We start from the raw sequence: 21,595 nt of genomic DNA on the forward strand, positions 1-21,595 counted from the left end.
GACTCTTTCTAACTCCAGGAAAAGTGAACGTTTGAGCAGATGGATTGATGAATATATTGCTAGAATATTTAGCAGAAATGAATATGATGAATATATTGATGGATTGATGAATATATTACTAGAATATTTAGCAAAACTCACATGGAGGTAGTACTTTTATGGGGCTTGCACATGTTACAGGACTAAGCTTACTTTTTACTTTTTTACAGTTGGGGACATATTGATTCCATAAGTTATTTACAAGAGAAATATCTTTGATATTTATTCTTAATTTCAATTAATACTGCCAGCACCCAATTTGCATTAAATACATATTCTTCTCTTTTCTTCTTTACCCCAGTCAGTAATTTCACTGACTATGGTGATAGGCTGTCAAGTAAAGCTTTAAGTTTCTTTAACTGATAAGAAAAATTATTTTAATTTATTGTTGATAATAATAGCAGAAATTTTTATTATTGGTAAAAGGGAAAATTGCAAGTGTTGTCTTTTATTCACATGCCTATATCTAAGCTTGCACTGAAAAATGTGGATACTAATACATTTTCTGCCATATCTTTTCTTCCTTTCTTGGTCTACTTTCTCTGACATGAGTTACAACTACCATGTTCATATTTCTCTCAAACAGCTCTACTTTGACCCCTTCAATTTGGTTTTTTATTCTCATAATTCCATTAAATAGCAGCAAATGAGTTTCACTTGACTTCTCCAACTGATTCCCTGATCTAATATTTTAAACCTGTTAACTGTGTGTAAATTTGTTGATAATACAGATTGCCTTAACTTTTTGAAAGTGGTAAGATGACTGCTGTGTGTGCCATAAAATGCTGCGCATTCATGGACAAATTTTCTGATATAAACAAAACTTAACACAAAACTGTTGGGTGTGTACGTCATAATCATGTGAACAAACCTATCAGCCACAGGAGTAAATGGTTCTCACAAATGACTGCAGTTTGTATAACTTGTGTTCAGCCAAAGCATGTTTCTATTTTTATTCTTCTATAACCATTTATAGAAAGCATTGATGTTAACATTATTTTTCTGCCAGCCACCATATAGAGCAGGGATTTCTAACTTTAATCCATAGATCTTCCTGTGACTAGGTTTTGGGACTATATGAAGCTTCTGAAATTGAAAGCTATATTTTATGTGTGGACGTGTTTTTCTGAAGCAAGTCACCACAGCTTTCATCGAATTCTCGAGATGTTTAAGGAGCACTGATGTTTGAGGTTTGTTCACATAAATGTATTTGTACATATTCTCAGAATAGCTGGAAAGCACAAAGCTTGTGCTCACCTATTCATTTAACACACTTTTTCTTTCGCCACTGCCCTGCCCAGTCTGTCTACCCCCAAGAAGGGCTTTCTGTATTCTTATATTCCCAGTTTTTACTGCTTCTATGTTCCCTTTTATCAGTTAGGATGCTTTAATGTACAAATGTAATTTAATAAGTAAATACTGAAGCACCAAAAGAAACCTAGCTGAGATCATCTTAACCAATGGAATAGATTTATTGGCTCAAGTCACTAAAGTCCAGAACTTTTTCAGGTTTTACATGCAGTTCGACTTGGTACAGATTTATTTCTCTGCATTTATTTTAGCTTTGCTCTCCCAGGTGTGTTGGTTTTGTTTTCATACCAGCTTCCCTCATGGTAGCAAAATGCAGCATTTAAGTCCTCCTACTGGCAGCCAACCATCATCATCCAGGACAGTAAGGATCTTTACATCCTCCTATTGTTTAATGAAGCAGAATCCACCATCCTGGCCAGGGGGATGTCTGTACACTAATTGACCTAGGCCCAGATTACCACCACACCTAAACAAACCAGAGACAGCAGGGATGAGGTTACAATTGTTGGTTTATGTCATTCAGGGTCTACTTTTAGGACTTTGGCAACCCCAACTTTTGTGAGTGTGTGTGCATGCTGTTAGAAAACATGCTGAGCAGCAACCAATAATGTTTACTATATCCCTTAAATTAAGTGGGGTTCCAGCATACAGCTCCTGGTATCTCATTATAGTTATGATGTGCTGCAGAAGATAGGATTTTATTGCTGTAGAAGATGGGAATTTATTGTGTTTCCTGAAGAAGGTTATGGAAAACATTAGTTCCTCGGGATGTTTTATCAATCAGAGTTTAGTAGAGAAAAACAGAACCAATAAAATACATATATATATTATGCCCAGCTCATAGTACACACCTGTTAAATATCAGCTACTACTGATATGTATAGTATATGTATGTATGTATGTAGTGTATGTGTACATATGTAAAAATAGTAGGATATAGCCTAGCAAATTACATACACACACATTGATTCATTTATTTTTATTTATAAATATTTTCTATTTATATTAAATATAAATTATTTTTATATTTTATATTTATAGCTATATAAATTTATAAAGAAATTTGTAAATAATATTTTTAATAAACTTATAAATGGAACTTATTTTATATTTATATATAAATTTATGTATATTTATACTTATAGATACATAAATTTATAAATTTCATAAAATTTAAGAATGGTTTTAAATTTGTAAATTGATTATAAATATAACCTTATAAATATTATTTTATTTATAAATAAATGAATATATTTATTTTTTTCAAGGAATTGGGAAGGCTAGCAAGTCAGAAATCTGCAGGATAGGCCAGTACAATCGAAAGTCTGGAGCGGGAACTAATACTATAGCTTTGAGGTAGAATTTCCCTTTCTTCAGGTAAACCTCAGTTTTGCTCCTAAGGACTTTCAACTGGTTGGATGAGGCCACCCCAGATAATGGAGGATAATCTACTTTAGTGTTGTCTAATTGTAGCCGTTAACTGTATTTATAAAATAACTTCATAGCAATATCAAGACTAGTGTTTTAATTGAATAATGTGCTACTATAGTTTAGAAAAATTTACACATAAAACTATCACAGATGTTAATAATTATAAGGCCAAAGAAGTACTGCGAGGTTAAATTTGAGAAATGGTAGATTAAGGATTGCTCTAGAATTTTCCAGTCTTTAATGTGCTCAGGGGCATTGTGGTTTTTAACTGTTTCTCATACTTATTTGATCAAGGACTTTTTGTTCCCCTGCAGATTATCTCACTGGACTAGTGTTTTACAGAATACATTTTGGAGGGGCTTTACTATAATTCGGTTCTATTTTACTTGTTTGTATGTTTCTGTTGTTTGTGTTCTTAAATGTATTTATGTCTGTTTCTGTTCTGTTAAACTGTAAGCTCCTTTGGAATCATATCTTCTGTCTTCTTCACAAAGTGGAAATTTAATAAATGTTGACTGAGAGATATTTTTAAATAACTAAATGGTTATTAACTCTTGGGTTAATGATTTTAATATTTGTTCAGAGCTATCACTTTCTCTTGGCAGAAATTAAATTGTAATAGCTTTTAAATGTTTGCTGGTCTTTGGAGATTTTCTTACTGTGGGGAACCAGCCAGTAAGATCGAGCAGGTTCTATGTCCTGGGCATGATAAGCCTCATCTTAGCACTTACTTTTTAATGTGACAGGCTATAATTTTGTGTCACTTAAGAAATTATTTAAATCCAGAGAAAACAAGTCATGAAAAAAAAAAACAGGACAAGTGAAGGTCCTGAAAGCGAATCTGGTTTTATTTGTTTTGTTTTACTGTTTTCTCACAGTATCTAGCACATTGCTTTAGTCTCAGTGCTGCTTGGTATATGTTGTGCCTGATTCTTAGAGGAGATTAAATATTTCCTCTGGACACCACTTAAATCCCTTCTTATTGTGATGATATATTATCAGATCAAACAGAGATGAGGTTTGCTCTTCTGTAATATATCAGTAATGTCATATGGTCTAGAGTCTAGATGTGATTTAGAGTCCTCTCCAGAGACTATGACCAGTAATCAAATCATGTTGTGGTTAGATCCATTAGCCAGGAAAGGCGTGGAGCATGAAAGACAGATCTGATTGTCACCCATAGGTCCCTGAACTGTATCCTGGATCTCTGTTAAATCCTCTGAGCTACTTCCTATTGCGGGGGCGGTGTGTGGGGGGGTCACCTTAATCTGTTTGCATGGATGTTTTTAATGTGTTTGAAAAAACAAATCAAAATTTGAAGTTCAGTTTAATTAGAAAAGCACTGGCTCAATCTGAAGCGATTATTGTTTTAAAATAACCATTTTGATTGAATTCAACCAGATTATTTAAAAACCAGTTTGTGTGTGCAAGCATGAAAAAGTGGGCATATTAGTTTCCTATTCCTTTCCTCATTGTTCAAGAAAGAGAGGATTTAAAGCCTTCTCTTCATCAAATAATTGGGTAAAACCCAGCCCTGTAAAACTTGAAAGTTTCCTTCCTTCCAAGAACATAGATGATCTGGAAATTATCTGTTCTACTTGAGACAATGGCCTGAAAACTGAAAAAGATTATAAAATATAACTGAAACTGAAAATGTTAAAAAATATAATCTAAATGTTCTAGATGTTATATATTGTATGTATAATATAGTATTTGAATATAATTATATGTATTTTAAATAAATATACATTTATACATGTAAATCTAAATAATTATAATAAATTATTTTTGAGTATAGAAGTTTTGAAAATGTTAGATAAACAAAAGGCTGACTATGAAAATGACTTTCAATCCCATTACCCAGAAATGGTTACTATTCATTTTATTCTTGGTTCTTTTATATTTGTGTGTATATATATATATATATGTGTGTGTGTGTGTATATATATGTGTGTGTGTGTGTGTGTGTGTGTGTGTGTGTGTGTGTATTTGCTTTCACCTAATTATCTCCCATACATTTTATTTTAGGGCTATAGGTTAATGTTTTATTAGTTTAAGAATATATTCATTGTTGATTGCTTTCTCAATATGCTTTTATATAATTTATATAAAACATAAAAACATATTTAACATATTTTTCCACTGAGTACACAAAATTGCATACAGGAGGAGCAGCTGATATTTAACAGGTGTGTACTATGAGCTGGGCACATTATTTTTACTGCCCTCAATTCTCACAATAACCTGCTAGATAGGTATTATTAACCTTAGGAAACAGAGGCCTGGGGAGAACAGTAACCTGGCCATTTCATACAGGCAGGAAGTGCCCTACCCCAGGACTACCTGATTATCTGTCTGACTCCAAAGCTTATACTCTGTCTTATGGTCTCTTCTGAAGTGAATTTTCTGTCAAATTTACTATGTCCTAGACAAAATATCTAAGATAAAATGAAACTAAATTATGAGCAAATTGGCCATGCACACAAATTTGGTGTTCAGAACTTGACAGAGGTAATGCATAGTGCTTTTACATTTCAGACAGAGTACATGAATACACCATCAGGCAGCTACAGAGAGCTTAGGGAGAGAATCATGTTGCTTTCTCTTACCTGATTGAAGGCATGGTGTACTTCTTTAAAGAAGGAAGATATTCTCTACTGACTCTTCTTAAAAATCAGCTTTGTTTCTGATAATGGGCTCAAAATATCAGAGGACCCAAATTGGGGACTTTGAGGCTAGCTGGTAACATGTATTTTGCTACCCATTTTCAATGCCTATGGGCTCATTATATGTGGACTTTGTATTTCTAGAAGAATGCTGACATACTAAAGGTACAACTCCACTTCCCAGTATACTGTTTCTCCTTCTTAGAATGTCTTCATCCCTGTAGTATCCATTTTTCTTTCTCATATCTGCTTTATTCTTTGTCTTTTCTATTCTTACCTAGATCCTGTTTTACCATCTTTCTTCTTCCTCTCTCAGTTTTCCATTCTCCATCACCACTATGATCTTTTCTGACATCCATTTATCCTCTACATTTCCTGCGAGGCAACATCCAATTCTGAGCCCCTACCCTTCAGTTTTCTCATATTTTAAAAAAGTTTATGTAGAGATGGAATCTCCCTGTGTTGCCAGGGTGGTCTTGAACTCCTGGCCTCAAGCCACCCTCTTATCTCAGCCTCCCACCTCAGCCTCCCAAAGCATTGGGATTACAGGGACGAGCCACTGCACCCAGCCATTATTTATGTAGTACTTCTTAGCCTCTCCATGAATGTGACTTTCCAGCCCAACAGCTGCCTTGGCTTTGTAAATCCTTGGACATTCTTTGCTATGGCTTGCTATGCTTAAATAAAACTGGCTTCAAAAGTGGGAGACATTGCTGTATCTGTTAGAGTTGCGTAGCTGTATTTTGTGTTATCCACTCCTGTAAGGTATTGCACTTTCATGAAGTGATTGTTCTGTGACTAGTGGAAAGGCTCTTGGGTTGTAAGTAGTCTGGTTACATTTTACTCCTCCACAGTCTGTTGTGCTCTACACAAGGGCTTTTGACCAAAAGAATGATATCCACTTCATTCTTCATTGACTAAGACACTTCATTTCAGAGGAAGAGATTTCTTTTTGAATTCTTTCTCTGAGGATCATGTAAGCCAGCAGAGGCCTTGTCTATATGGGTGTCCAGGTTGGTCTTAGAAATATACAAGTGTATTGGTAGTCAGAACCTAAAAAAACTCCAAGACAGTCAGAGAAGAGAACTTCCTAACAAGACATGTCCAGTGTGTTTACCATGTTCACTGCATCACAAAGCTGGAAGGAAGGCAGAGCTGGGCCAGTTACAGCCTTATCTTCATTAAGTTCTTTCTCAAATAAAAAACAAATACAGCTATATGGATTTAATTTGAGAAGGCCTTTCTGTGAGTCTTCTTATGTCTATGCTTTTCCTTTGCTTCTTATTTTTTTCTTTCTCCTTAGTCTTTCCCTCCCTTTAAAGGCTTCTAAATATTAAATTGAAATACATGAGAATGTGATACAGAGCTGTGATGGCAGGGAAAGTTCAATATGTATTCACTAATGAAGGTTTCCTGGTACACAAGGTACATTGAGGAAATCCATGTTTTTCCATCTCACGTAATGTTATGTGTATGTGACTTTGTGGTATTGTGTTTGGGGTTCACTGACTTTTTTTTTTAACCAGTGTTTATATCTTATTGCTACTAATGAACTCAGATAGATTTGGTGGAAGAAGGCAGAAAATAATTATGAGTCCACACTTGTGCGTCTCTGTACATTTTCTTTATGCTTGTGTTACTTCTGGAGTCGTGTTAGCATAACAGAAAGCATCTGGGCTAGGGCAGAGTTATGGGATGCCAAGGCATAGTCATAGTTACAGGGTGCCAAGACACTGTCGTATTCATGGCAGCTCTGGGAATTACCCCTAAGTCTGTCGTCATACACTTTCCAAGAATGGATCTAGTTGGAGAAGTATTTTAAACCTCGTCAGAGTCACTTGTCTTGGCTTCTTCAGCTGACTTGAGTGGGGACTCTGATTGTTGGCTGCTGTAGTATCATCCGTGCCTAGAGATACAGGGCTCTTGCTGTAAATAGGATGGCATAACCATAAACCATGGGGTGAGTACCTTCTTATACATTTTTGTTTAGTATGGAGAAGTGTGGAGGAACACAAAGAAAACTGCATTCTTCCTTGGGCTTTTATGATATGACCAGCATTTTCTTACATATTTTCTATAGATCCTTTCTCCTAACCACCTTTAAATTTAAACATACTTTTGGGGAACTTGTGGTTGCTGGTAGAGTTAGTGTAAAAAATATCCTATGAGTCTTATAGGTCCCAAAAGGACTTACACGTAATACTCAGTTTAAGAACTCTACAATGATATTCTTAGCAGTAAGCTGGTAACTAACATAGTAATAATAATACTACAAAACAAGTTAATCATAATGTAATGTTAACCAAAAGAACTTGTAAGAAAAACTTTGACTCTATTATTTGTGACTCACTACATTTTTCCTGGAGAAATTATTTTATCCGTGATCCTACAGATTTTCAAAATAAGGGCTAGATAAGGAATGTGTCTGTAATTAATGACAGTTTTTGGTAGGGGTGAAAACAGCATTGTATAGACTAGAAAAATAATTCTAGTAGTCTACAGATTTTCACCAATCTGACAAATACTTAGCAATAGCAAGTGATGCTACTTCTATTGATGACAGCTGTGCATGGACAATGCAGAAAGAGATAGAGGGCTCAGGCTGTCAGTCATGTTTGCATTTGTCTTTGCTTTCTTATTTTTGTCAAACTTGCTTTCTTATCTACAGAGAACTTGTTTCTTGTAGGTTACTTGGCTTCCGCTGATTAAATAACTGGAGCAACACAGACACATGTACATACACACATTTATGTTCTCATTGGTAATGGCTTAGTTTTTGATGTGGAGGTGGGTTAATTTGACAAATGTCTGCATGGATGGTAATTTAGTGCACCTTTCCTGTCCCATCATTTTTGCCTTTCATCTTCCTCTAAAAGGACCTTCGGGTTCTGGCAGCTGCCCATGGAGAAGACTCAGAGCTGTGTGCTGATGGTGCTTTTCTAGGCAGACCTCTCAAGCCAGCAGCAGGTGCCGGCTGCCCTGCTTGCCCCGGAACCTGGGAGGAGAGACATTTCCAGTTCCGGACAGGGTTGGGCTGTTCTGCTGCAACAGATGGTCAGCATTTGGTTTTCTCAGTCATGTCACCTGGGGAACTCCAATACTGTTTTATGTTCTGTTTCTTACTTTTCATTTAAAAAGAAGCAGAAAGAGAAGCACCATGCCATATCAAAATAGCTGACAGCTTCCATGTTGAGAAAAATGAAAGACAATTTTTTGAAGAGAACAGAAATGAACAAATGTACATGGTGCATTTGCTAAAATGCTTAGCTACAATTTTATGATGTTGACTTTATTCCATTTTGTGAAAAACAGAAAAGATTAGCTACTGAGAGGTTATTGAGTATATTATATACAGGCTTTTCTTTCATTTTTCAATAGTAAGTGAGACAAAAATTTCCATTTTAATTTTCTAATTTGATATTCATATATGCACATGGATATTTCTTCATCTGAGATAAGACTGTCATTATCAGCTTCATTTGGTTACATAATGACAAGTCAACTCACTATTTAAACCATTCCCAAATAAATTTCAATTATTTAAATTATAAATTATCTGTAATGTTATATATAAGCATTTTCTTTTCACCTGGAAAAAGCATTTCAGAAATCTTTTTGTGTGCAGAAATAAAACTCTGGTAAAACTACCATAGTTTAAGATCTGAATATTGAATCTGGTTTATGAAAAATAGAAGCTCAGAATAAATTATCATTGTCTTGATTATTCCCGCACATGGATGTGGAAGTGACTCAAATTTTACTCTTAAAAGGTCTGTTTTGGAACTTGAGGGCAAGGGCCTTTGTTCTGCCTTCTAGGGTATAACCAGCTCTGCTCCTGCTTCATTAATGTCTATAAGTTTGTTACAAAGACAGAAACTGACAGGAAATGAATTTAGGGTAGGGGGCACTGACACCCAAAGGGAAGTCACTGTGGACAAGACCCTCTGGGAGGCTGGCAGAGATTGCTGCCACGTGGCCATGGCAGTGTGCGCTGTGAGATGATCCCAGATGTCTGCACAGAATCCCTTCCTGGAGGTGGAGAGGGTTGACACCCTTGTAAAACACAGGGAACAGACCTGCTAACCTCATTTAATGCCTTCACACTCTGTAATGCCAGAAACTAATATTAATATCAAAATACAAGTTTTAAAGTGTGTCAGAGATGATGTTCATGCAGAATGTGAAGAAATTAACATATTGAGAAGGAAACTGAAGAACCAAGGGGTCAGTTTCTCTCAGCATTCACAGAAATCTTCCTGCACATCCCATCTACTCCTGAGTATGTACATTTCCACCTGATTGCCAGCTCCCCCAGGCGAAGGAGTTGTTTCTGCTAATCCCCCATCAATGCATCATGCACACCGCTCTACATCATTAGGCACCTGCCTTTCTGTGAGTGATGGTGATAAAAATGAAACTAGCCAAGTATGTGTGGATCATTGGGTAAAAAGGGTACTGCAGTCAGGTTCTCGGGATTTCCCTGGGGACTTTTGTGGTTTGGAGGAGCTGTTTCTGTAGTCTGTGCAAATACTGTGATGAGGCCCACATCAGATGCTGGGGGGAAATGTGAAGCACCTCATGGCAGTAGCATCACAGTGAGCTCATTGATGAAAAAAGAACCCAACAAAATCCCAGTACTCCTAAAGCTATACTTTGTCCAACTTTTACTTAGTACTTAAAAAAAAAAAAGAATGGTTTTATGTGGTGTTTAAACTGGGCTGTGTATCAAAATTCCCTGGTGTAATTGAAGTACATTTCTGATGGACATTGTTTGAAGGTCTAATTTTGTAGTTGCATGTTGTCTGAACTACTGTTGATGGCCATGAAGCCCTGGTTCCTGAGCCTTATAAATAACTTTGGTCTGCCCATCCTGTGCCATCATCACTTCCATTGGATCTGCTCACTTTGGTGAGCTATGAATGGAAAAACTCTTCCCAAGTATCAAGCAATTATATTTCTCCTTACAAACAGAAAGTGTTTTCAGTGATCTTTATGATAATCTGAGTGGGTTTTCTTGGATTCATGCCCAGCAAGTTTATTTTTGTGTGTAGTAGGCTGATTTTCTGATTTTTCTGTACATTTCTTTGTAGAGTTTACCGAACTGTTTATCTTTGCTGACAACTTCAGCTAGGTCAGAGTTTGTGTAAATTCAGTGAAGCTTTAAAAAAGCCATGATCTAAAGTTCCCTAAGATCTTTATTGCTGACTTTTAGAGTCATGATTTTGTCACAACCTTAGCTGAGCCTGTCTCGGGAATGGAAACAGCAGCTGAATTGTGTGTTTGCATACCCGAAGCCCCAGACCATTCTTGCAAAGCCTCCATTATTTGTCTTTGTAGTCTCAGAAGCTTTGCATTTATGGATTCATTGTATCATCATTTTATGGCTATTTGGAGTCTCTGATGATGTTCTAATTAAATGCCCATTTCCTGCTCACCACTGTTTTATACCGCTTAAAATGCCAACTTCTCCCAGTGTATTTTTGGATATGTGAGTAATGGGTTGAATCAATAGTGTTATTGGAAATTAACTGTTTTTAAGGCTAATGATGTAAAGATTAAAAACATTTCCCCAAGGTCAGTTTCCTTATATTTAGAATGCATACACACACACATATATATAGCTGTATGTATTTTGATATAGACTAATCGATCACAGAATTCAACTGGATATCTCACAAAAATGATCCTGTCTTACATCCATACCATGGCTGCTACTCAGTAATAAAAAGCAAAAAATGATTGGTACATGAAATAACTTGGATGGACTCAAGGGCCATATGTTAGTGAAAAAAGCCAATCTCAAAAGGTGTGATTCTGCTTATATAACACTTTCAAAATGACCAAATTATAGAGGTAGAGAACAAATTAGTCGTTGCCAGGGATTAGGTATGGTGGTGCTATGGTGGGGTGGAATTGGGTGTGATCACAAAGAGGAACATGAGTGATACTATTGTGGGGATGTAATAGTTTTGTATCTTGGTTGTGTTGGTGGTCAGATTAATCAACATGTGAGAAAATGGCATAGAGTTACACACACACATTGCACAAATGTCAGTTTCCTGGTTTTAATATTACTATGATTATGTAAAATATAACCTTTGGGGGAACTGAGTGAAGGGCATGTAGGACTTCTTTATACTAGTTTTGAGACTTCTTGTGAATCTAGAATTATTTCAAAATATTTTATTTGAAATGGGCCAATAGTTTTAGAGAGCCCTAATAAAAATGAGCCTTTTCTTACCAATCAATATCGGTAATAAATGCAGTAATTGACTCTCAGAGCTAGAAAAGACATATAGTATTCACACATAAGTACCAGAATAATGTGGCAGCCCAAGTCTTTTTTTAAAGCTGTTTATAGCTTCTAATCTTGGCAGCAGCTTATTATTTTTGAAAATGTATTAACTACCATGGGCACACTTGTAAAGTGATATTCATTGCTCACAACAGTATCTTTGGTCTTCTGTATTTTGAAAGTTTACCACTTTGGACAGTAAGAGTCATGCCAGCAACATTCCAGCAGTCCTTCAGACAAATCCGTTAAAAAAATAGACATGGCTTTTAAGCAGAAAATTGAAACTGGATCTTTTCTTTACACCTTATACAAAAATTAACTCAAGATGGATTAAAGACTTAAATGTAAAACCCAAAACTGTAAAAACCCTAGAAGAAAATCTAGGTGATACTATTCAGGACATAGGCATGGGCAAAGATTTCATGACAAAAACATCAAAAGCAGTTGCAACAAAAGCAAAGATTGACAAATGGGATCTAATTAAACTAAAGATCTTCTACACAGCAAAAGAATCTGTTATCAGAGTGAACAGACAACCTACAGAATGGAAGAAAATTTTTACCATCTATCCACCTGACAAAGGTCTAATATCCACAATGTACAAGGAACTTAAACAAATTTACAAGAAAAAAACAACCCCATTAAAAAGTGGGCGAAGGACATGAACAGACACTTCTGAAAAGAAGACATTTAGTGGTGACAAACATATTTTAAAAAGCTCAATATCACTGATCATTAGATAAATGCAGTTCAAGACCACATTGAGATATCATCTCACACCAGTCAGAATGACAGTTATTAAAAAGTCAAGAAACAACAGATGCTGGTGAGGCTGTGGAGAAATAGGAATGCTTTTACACTGTTGGTGGGAATGTAAATTGGTTCAACCATTGTGGAAGACAGTGTGGCAATTCCTCAAAGACCTGCAACCAGAAATACCATTAGACTCAGAAATCCCATTACTGGATATATACCCAAAGGAATATAAATCATTCTGTTAGAAAGATACATGCACACGTATATTCATTGCAGCACTATTCACAGTAGCAAAGACATGGAATCAACCCAGATGCCCATCAGTGATAGACTGGCTAAAGAAAATGTGGTACATATATACCAAGGAATACTATGCAGCCATAAAAAGGAACAAGATCATGTCCTTCGCAGGACATGGATGGACCTGGAAGCCATTATCCTAAGCAAACTAACACAGAAACAGAAAAACCAAACACTGCACGTTCTCACTCATGTGGGAGCTGAACATTGAGAACACATGGACAATGAGATACCATCTCAGGGGAACAACACACACTGGGGCCTAGCACGGGGAGGGTGTCGGGGGAGGGAGAGTATCAGGATAAATAGTTAATGCATGCAGGCTTAACACCTAGGTGATAAGCTGATAGGTGCAGCAAACCACCATGGTACATGTTTACCTATGTAACAAACCCACACACTCTGCAGTGTATGGAACTTAAAATCCTGGAACTTAAAAATAGACATGGCTTTATTGGACATTCCAATAGTACCTAGTCTGAATGTCTTTTTTTAACAGATTTAATGAGATATCATTGATGTAAAAATTATATAAGATATATTTAAGATGTACAGCTTGATGTTTTGATATATGTATACTTCAGAAAATACCGCATTCAGGCTGACTAACATACCTATTTGTATTAGTTTGTTTTCACACTGCTGATAAAGACACACCCAAAACTGGGAACAAAAAAGAAGTTTAATTGGATTTACAGTTCCACATGGCTGGGGAGGCCTCAGAATCATGGTGGGAGGTGAAAGGCCCTTCTTACCTGGCAGTGGCAAGAGAAAAATGAGGAAGAAGCAAAGGCAGAAATCCCTGATAAGCCCATCAGATCTCGTGAGACTGATTCACTATCATGAGAATAGCACAGGAAAGACCAGCCCCCATGATTCAGTTACCAACCCCCTGCCCAGGTCCCTCCCACAACACATGGGAATTCTGGGAGATACAATTCAAGTTGAGATTTGGGTGGGGACACAGCCAAATCATATCACCATTACCTCTACAGAGTTATCAGCGTGTGTGTGTGTGTGTGTGTGTGTGTGTGTGTGTGTGTGTGTGCAGTCTTAGCCTTGTTGGTCTTGTGTTATATGAACTTGTTTACTTTCTGTTTAACACTTAAGAAAAATCCAAAAAGATACGGGTCTCTAATTTAGCTAAGAAAAGTAAACAACTCAATCTATGTATGTCAAAGAGAACCTAGGAAAAACCCTTAAGGAAGTAAATCTCAACATACGGTATGAAATTTATGTAAAACTGTCAGCCCCAAATCCAGGGAAGAAAGAGATTTATGCTAATTTGTCAAGTGGTAACTCATTTTGGGATTATGCTATTTGTACCTTTTCCAATTCTACTCTCACCCTTCTCCCAATGAAATAAAAGGACACATAGTCATAGAGCAAGAACCCATAAAAAGAGGCAGAGTTTGTTTTCTTTATCTTCCCTAAACATACAGAATATATGCTTCTTGGAGGGTAAATACATTTAATGTTAATCTCTGTATCTCTCACTCCCATACCTTGGCTTTTGCCATAGAATTTAATATTTAACTACTGACAACTTAAGAGTCTCTAAATAAATGGAAAATGAATTTTCAATAAAACTGAGAGCAGTCAGAGAAAAGTTGTAGCAATGATAAAAAACAATAGTTTTCTCAGTGTAATTTGATTTGAAGTATAGAGAAGAAGAAATGATTTTAACCCAAGTTCCCTGAAAGATATTTGCACTGAACTCATGATATTCACGGAAAAAATACGAAAGCAAAGGATTTGGGCAAGTTTCCAACAGCTCATTGGAAATGATCAGGAATTTACTGTCTTTGGAGGATGGGTTGTAGGTATATATGCAGCACCCTGAATTCTTTTATCCAGGCAATAACGGTGACCCCACATTTATTGCTCCAAGTCATTGGTGTCCTTTGAAAAAATGCCAAACTTATATGTGGTATCTCCTACATGTTCTGGTTTGAATTAAGAAAATGTGACTTACAAAAAGTTCCCCTGTATAAAACTAATTAAAAGTATTACAAAAGGACCCTTCATATTAACAAATGATTTCCTGTGACTCATTTAAGAGTGAATTCCTGTAGGGTGTGAAAGTGGATTTTTATAGATCATTAACAACCTGACAGGTTCTGGGAGCAGAAAAATATAAAACATATGTGTTAGGAAAAATGCCAGTTGAAGATCAATCAAAAGTGACATCGAGTGTTTCTGAACGCTTTAGAAGAATCAAGCAGAAAGTAATTTATAAAGCATTTCTTAAGAACATATCGATTAAATACACTTGTACAATAAATTCTTTGGTAAGTTCTATAAATTCTTTTAATGTCATAAATAATAGCCGAAAAGAATTTTGAAAGACAAAATAAATGTTTCTCTTGTTCCCTTGATGATTCACATTCCTGAAGGTCATGTCTGTTCACTTGTGTTCCCCCATCCTGATCTCTCATTGTCTTGACTGTCTGGGTCAATCTTGATTCTGTCTCATCAGGTCACTAAAGCTGCTAACAGTAAGATCTCCTTACTGTTGAATATTGGCCAAATTCAACAGAAACATTTTCAGTCCTTACATTAGTCAATATCTTTCTGGCATTTCATAGTCTTCATTATACAAACCTTCTGAAATTCATTCCTTTGGCCCCACCTACACCATGTCCGCTGGTAAAATCTCCTGCATACCTCATTGATCCTCCTCTGCCTTCTTCACTGGTTTCTCTTTCTTCACCTGCTGGCTAGGTGTGGGCTTTCTCCAAGGCTCTCCCCTCAGCCTCTTGTCTCTTGTCTTCCTATATTTTCAGTTATAACCCAGTGTTCTTGTCTTAAATATGCATCTGCAGTCCCTAGCTTTCTTCTGAGCTGTAGGCCTGATTTTTGAATCTGAATATTTTATCCTCCTCCAGAAACACTGCCTCTCTTCCTGTCTTTTCTTACACTTCCAGTCTCTCAAGGAGGTAGCCTCAATCTTTTATTAGGTTTTGTTCGTTCCTTATCTTCCAGTTTACTCCCTTATTTCCTAACCATTAAAGATTCCTCAGATCCTGCACCTTATCTATACCCCTACTGCTGCTATCTTCATTGAAACCGTCAACCTTTCTCAGTTATATTATTTCTGGAATAACCTAATATGTGTCCTGGTCCCTAATTTCATCTCCTTAACATTCATCCTCCTCATTGATTATCTTTTATCCTCAAAATTACCTTTATAATTAAAATCTGGTTGTCTCAGTCATAGTTCTTAAGACAGTTTACAATCTGCTCTCACCCTACCTTTCAAAATATGTAAATAGGCTGCCATTCCAACAGTCACCTTAATTTTTGAGGCCCCCATCCTAAAATAGATTGTCTTTATTCCTAGAATGCCCTTTCTCATATCTTGTCCAACCACTTTATCCTTAAAGACACAATTTGGATGTCATACACAGTGAAGATTTCCCTGATTATTCCCAAACTCAGTTATTGCCTTTTTTCCACAGTACTTTCCATACTCCTATTACCATTGATAACATTACATTATTTCCACAATATTGGACCCCATTAGGATGTTGAGAGCCTCTGTCGTCTTCCATCTTTGTAGCTCTAACACTTAGCACAATGTCTGGTGCATAATATGCACTAGTTATTGTTTGCTAAGCGTAGCACACATTACCCAGCTGCACCAGTCTAGGAATATAGCTGTCACCCTATAGCAGCTGGGCTCTACTCCTTCCTCTAGGTATTTCCCTTCCGGATCTCTGAGGTTTCGAGGATAGCCTCATGTAATCACAAACAACCATAGCAATAATTATCTTCAGTTTCCTCACCTCAATATCCTTATAGTTTCCTTCTCTGACCCTAATAGTTTTTTTTTTTTTTTCCAGGTCACCACAATGACTTTTTCTGCTTCCAAAGTTGGAAAAGAGCCATCTTTTTAAAAATTTTAGTGTCACGTTTATCATGCAAAAGTTGGAGAGAATGCCCTCCATCCCTACTTCTGTTGTATTCTCTAATGACTTATGCATTGATTACAAGCAGAATTTGCCTCTTACCCCTTCAGGTATGGGGCCCTGCCTATGACTCACTGTTCCTTACTGCTTCTCTCCCCTTGTGAACCAGTTTAGGCTCTCTGGGGCTGGGATATGTGCCAATCTGGGGACTATGATCTTCTTAAAAGTATTTTTTTTTCCTCTTTACATGCTTAGCCATTGTCCAGAGGCAAAACTTGTGCAGCAAGCCTTCTCTTTTCTTTGGGGTACACAGCCTGGGATATTAAGGAGAAGTCCTTATCTTTGAGAGTTTAATACTTTTGAGGTCTTAGGTCTGCAGAGTCATCCTTGTGTTCGTTCACTAGCACCTTACATGGGTTTCTGAGCCCCTCACTCTGCTGACATACCTTCACAGGCAGTAGAGACACAGTTTAAGGTCCTCATTCTGGCACTTGATGTGTAAAAGAAAAATTGCACTAGACTAGCTAAACGGGCAAAAAAAAAAAAAAAAGACATTCAAGAAAATTGCAATAGAGGAGAAGGATTGAACTCAACTCCACTAAACCAAAGGGGGAGGAGTTTCTAAGCACTGGGGTGAGCTGGTGGAAAATTGCGGGAGGATGTTAGTGGAGGGCTGATCAACATGATTGGGCCACTGGTGCTTATTGAAGTTAGGCTCCCACTCTCCTACAGAGGCTGAGAGGGTACTATCTTTCTTGATTACATGTCAAAAGGGATGGCTCCCAGGTTCTTGAGAAAGACATTCCTGGGTTGTAGAATATTTATGTCTTAAAGTAGCAGAGCAAGAATTTATAATGGAAAGTTTTCTAAAGGAAACACATTTTAAAAAGGAGGTCAGAGGCCTTAGGAAGAAGCCTGTCTAAAGTTGAATCAATCTGAGGGGGATTTTATGGCCATCTTTTCCAGATGCATAAATATAAACTAAAAAGTAAATAATGACCCACTTTACTTGCTTTCATGTGGCTTTTTATATTCCATCAATAACAATGAAATCGGTTATGCAATAGGGCAGTTGTTATTATTAAGGAAATTTATACATAGATTGTAATAATATGCTAAAATTGTGAACAATTTGTCTCCCAGGTTCTGTCCTTTTGAACAAAAACGGAAATACACTTCAAAATAAATGCTTTGCAATTACTACTTTTCTTTCTTCTGACTTACTATTTATTAAAGGTGAATGTATTTATCACACAGACAGATACTTTGGTTTGATTGGTTTGTATCATTGCTTTCTCTTTGTCATAGAAGTATCCCTTAGAGTGAGTCTTTTGGCAACATATAAAGTGATAATTTAACCCCCTGGCTGAGTTGTTTCTAATATAAGTGAATCATACTAAGCCAGAGGGCAGATAGCTGAAGAGAAAGGAAGTAGTAAGACAGCGAAAAGAGATCATAGTTCATGTCCCCATTTTTCTAAAGGGAACACTTTCAATGATAAATCTTGACTATGTCAGGTGATTTTCCTTTTTTCACTCTGTGGAAAGGTGTTTCATCAGTTTTCCATACCTATTATGTGAAATATATTTCATAAATACAGCTGGTGATCTTCAGGCAGTACTGGAACTTTTATGTTATATACATCATAATTATTGTTAATGGTAAAGTTGGATGGAATGAGGAAAATGAAGGAAAGATAGGAATTGGGTCAGGGCTCTGACTGAGTGGCCAGTGAAGGCTGTTAAGGGACAATAAATAATTTGAGCTCTTTGGGAAATACTGTTATTTACTTCTCTACTTTTATTTCCAGATTTCTTCACAACTCCATTTCTTTTCTGTTATTACTCCCACAGCAGTCTACTTCTTCCAAACCTTATCATCATTGCCATGTCCATTTCATCTCTACCCTAATCCAGTTCAACACCCTACATCTCAAATGGCCTATTGAAATAATCTCTTTATTGGACATCCTGCTATAATCCATTTTTAATATAAACTTTAAAAAATGTAAACCAGTCCAAATTGTTCTGATTGATAGCTGTATAACCCTCCCATAGCTTTCCAGTATGCTCAGAATAAATTCCAAACTCTTAACTGTGGCTCTCAAAACCCCCAAAATAGGCTCTAGACTCTGTAAAGGGCGGAAGCAGTGTGGATTCTGTACTTAGTGTATTCTGATAGCCACGTGTCACTATGTACTTTTTCTTTGTGTCTTCACGTCTCCTCCTGTTGCATTTTAAAGCACTTTCATAGTATGTGGTTTTGCCTAATAAAGCATTCTCATAGAAAAAAAAAGCCACCTCACCTCTTCCCATTCTTCCCCTGGTTTATGAGTTCCCAGGAACATTGTCCTTTCTGTCTTTTGAAACTGCCAAGCTTACTACTTTCCTAGGGCATTTGCCCTTATTGTTCTCTCTCCGTGGACAGTTTTGCTACCCAATTTTTGAATGACTGGCTCTCTTTTTTAAATGTAGTTTGGTGTGATGTTGACTTGGTTTGGTGGGAGTTGTGGGTGGAGTTGTGTTGTTGTCTGTGGTCCTGCTGCAAGATGGTGGCAGGTGTTGCACAGGTGCCTTGGGGATTGTCAGCTTTGTTGGTGTGATTTGCAGTTATCTTGGTGCAGCAGTGGCTCTGTTCCATGTGCAGTGGTTACCAGTCGCTCCAGGGGTTTGGTGTGCCGATGGTGATGTCAGCTGCCTGGGTGGTTGATGTATAAACAACTGGTGGAGGACCTAGTAGTTTCCCAACGATGCATAGATGCATAAAACTTCCCAGCAGGTAAAGAACTCCTTGCATGGTTCTTGAATGCATGAAGGGTATGTTGGTTTGAAGTTTCTCCAATTTCCTATCAGATACCCTAAGCCTTTATTCAGTGTCGTTTGTCAGTGCTTTGAGAGTCTTATTCACTGCACTAAATCTATTGTCCATGTGGTGTTTGAAGTCATTGATGTGATTCAGTACTGAGGAAAATTCACTGCCGATATCCGTTTCAGCTTGCTGTCCTCTCTTGTCACTGGTGATACTTTAAGAGTCATTTTCTCTGTTGAAATGGCTGCAGAGATTGAGCCCTCTTCTTTCATGGCAAGGTTCCAAGGATGGAACCAGGATCTCTTTTGGCAGGTACTCAAGCAGCATAGGTGGTGTTTTGCAGTCTTGGCCCTTTGGACATGGCAATTCCCCTGTTTCCCTGAGGTCTGATGTTGTTTGCTTGATGCTGATACTAGCAATCTGCTGATTGACATGGTGTCAGATCCCTCTGTAAGTTTCCATGACTGGCTTTCTTGCCGTTGACCTTTCAGTACAAATGTCCCCTCATCCATGAGGATCCCCACACTATCCAATATACGGTTAGTCCCCTTCCTCCGAGACACCCTCTATCACCACCTTCCAGTTTTGTTTTTTTGATGACTTCAGGTAATTATAACTACAGGTATCATGTTCATTCGTTTTGCTTGCCCATTGTCATGAGAATGTAAGCCCCATGAAGGCAAGGATCTTGCCTATTATATACTCTGCTATAACCCAAGCACCAAAACACCCCCTGAAACACTGATATGCTTCATAAGTATTTCAGTGAAGTAATTAATGAATTTACTAAATAATATTATTTATTGATATCCTACTATCTGCCAGGTGAAATGCAACATTGTCTTGGGAACCAAACGTGAATGTGGTGTGGTTTTATACTTCATGTAGCCTACTGGCTGGCTATTATCTTTATCTGGTCATCTGGCTACTAAACCATCTTTTAGGATTTAAATTTAACTTTTGTCTGAAGTATCAAGATAAGTTGATATTTTAGCATATTCGCGGGTAGTCGGATTCTTTGGTTCTGTAACTGTACTCTATATATACTCCCTAAGAACCTCTAAAATTTAGCTTCTCTCATTTTACATATATTATTTTTCACTTTATTAAGGCTTTATCCAGCAGGTACCAGATTCAAGGCTTTTTATAGCTCATTATAAGGTATGCACATGAGAGTAAGATATTTACCCAATCTTCAAGGAATGCAAAATTTAGTAGATGAGATAAACTCTATTCTGGTAAACATGAAATAAGGCTGTATTTTGAAAATTCTATAAAAGAGGCAGAATGAGTAATAGAGGGATCCAGAGAAGGAAGCTGTCACACAGAAGTGAGATGAATAGGAAATGCTTCATTAAAAGATTTACTTTTTCTTGGGCTTTAATAATCACCAAGACCTTGACATGTGGAGATACAGAAGAAAGGGAAAGGGAAGGAAATGAGTTTTCCAGTTGAGCTGCAGCATCAGCATAAAGTTTTGGAAAGGATCTATGTCATGGAGGGCTTTGAAATTTCCTTGGTAGGTGGTGGGAGCCATTGGAGTTTTACTGCGACCAACATTAGCACAGCATTTCTTCAGAGAGAGAAATTTAGACATCTTTTGGTAGATGAATTGGTGTAAGGGCAAACTGGAGACAGGAAGATCAATCAATTAGCAATCTTTTCTGAGATGACAGCCTAGATAGGACAGAATAAGGGTTTGAAAAGTAGAATAGAAGGTTTCCTAAATAAATATATTCACACACACACACACACACACACACACACACACACACACACACACACACAGAAAGAGAGAGAGAGAGACGTTTGCCCATGAGAACATTTCCCTTATTATATTTATTCTGAACTGCAGTTGCTTCCCTCTTCAACCCAGCCCTTTTCACTTTCACATTCATGAATTCTTTCTTTATATAAGCTACACTTTGGGGAATAGATTTTTTGCTTTTTGGTGTATTTTACTATTCTCAGGTATTTAAAAGCATTTTTAAGATATCTATGAATTCTCAAAATGCCCACATTTCTGGCACAGTTGAAATAGCGAGACTTGAGTTTAGACACCAGTGGTCTCCTTATTA

The 21,595-nt window shown here is 37.0% G+C and overlaps 1 protein-coding gene across 6 annotated transcripts in view, besides 6 other annotated features; it reads left to right on the forward strand.

Moving 5' to 3' along the window:
• The window catches only part of CAMK4 (calcium/calmodulin dependent protein kinase IV), a 271,304-nt gene that overhangs the window by 21,355 nt on the left and 228,354 nt on the right, over positions 1 to 21,595 (forward strand). The window lies entirely within an intron of this gene.
• Positions 8,234 to 8,323: an enhancer, noted in NCBI's record as "active region_22892". NCBI's record gives its function as "activates an Ori minimal core promoter by ATAC-STARR-seq in GM12878 lymphoblastoid cells {active_cell/tissue: GM12878}" and the evidence as "EXISTENCE:reporter gene assay evidence [ECO:0000049][PMID:35858748]".
• Positions 8,374 to 8,423: an enhancer, noted in NCBI's record as "active region_22893". NCBI's record gives its function as "activates an Ori minimal core promoter by ATAC-STARR-seq in GM12878 lymphoblastoid cells {active_cell/tissue: GM12878}" and the evidence as "EXISTENCE:reporter gene assay evidence [ECO:0000049][PMID:35858748]".
• Positions 8,564 to 8,653: an enhancer, noted in NCBI's record as "active region_22894". NCBI's record gives its function as "activates an Ori minimal core promoter by ATAC-STARR-seq in GM12878 lymphoblastoid cells {active_cell/tissue: GM12878}" and the evidence as "EXISTENCE:reporter gene assay evidence [ECO:0000049][PMID:35858748]".
• Positions 9,462 to 9,551: an enhancer, noted in NCBI's record as "active region_22895". NCBI's record gives its function as "activates an Ori minimal core promoter by ATAC-STARR-seq in GM12878 lymphoblastoid cells {active_cell/tissue: GM12878}" and the evidence as "EXISTENCE:reporter gene assay evidence [ECO:0000049][PMID:35858748]".
• Positions 9,772 to 10,041: an enhancer, noted in NCBI's record as "active region_22896". NCBI's record gives its function as "activates an Ori minimal core promoter by ATAC-STARR-seq in GM12878 lymphoblastoid cells {active_cell/tissue: GM12878}" and the evidence as "EXISTENCE:reporter gene assay evidence [ECO:0000049][PMID:35858748]".
• Positions 10,202 to 10,251: an enhancer, noted in NCBI's record as "active region_22897". NCBI's record gives its function as "activates an Ori minimal core promoter by ATAC-STARR-seq in GM12878 lymphoblastoid cells {active_cell/tissue: GM12878}" and the evidence as "EXISTENCE:reporter gene assay evidence [ECO:0000049][PMID:35858748]".

The sequence above is a fragment of the Homo sapiens genome, chromosome 5, assembly GCF_000001405.40.
Source record: "Homo sapiens chromosome 5, GRCh38.p14 Primary Assembly".
NCBI classification, from domain to species: Eukaryota; Metazoa; Chordata; class Mammalia; order Primates; family Hominidae; genus Homo; species Homo sapiens.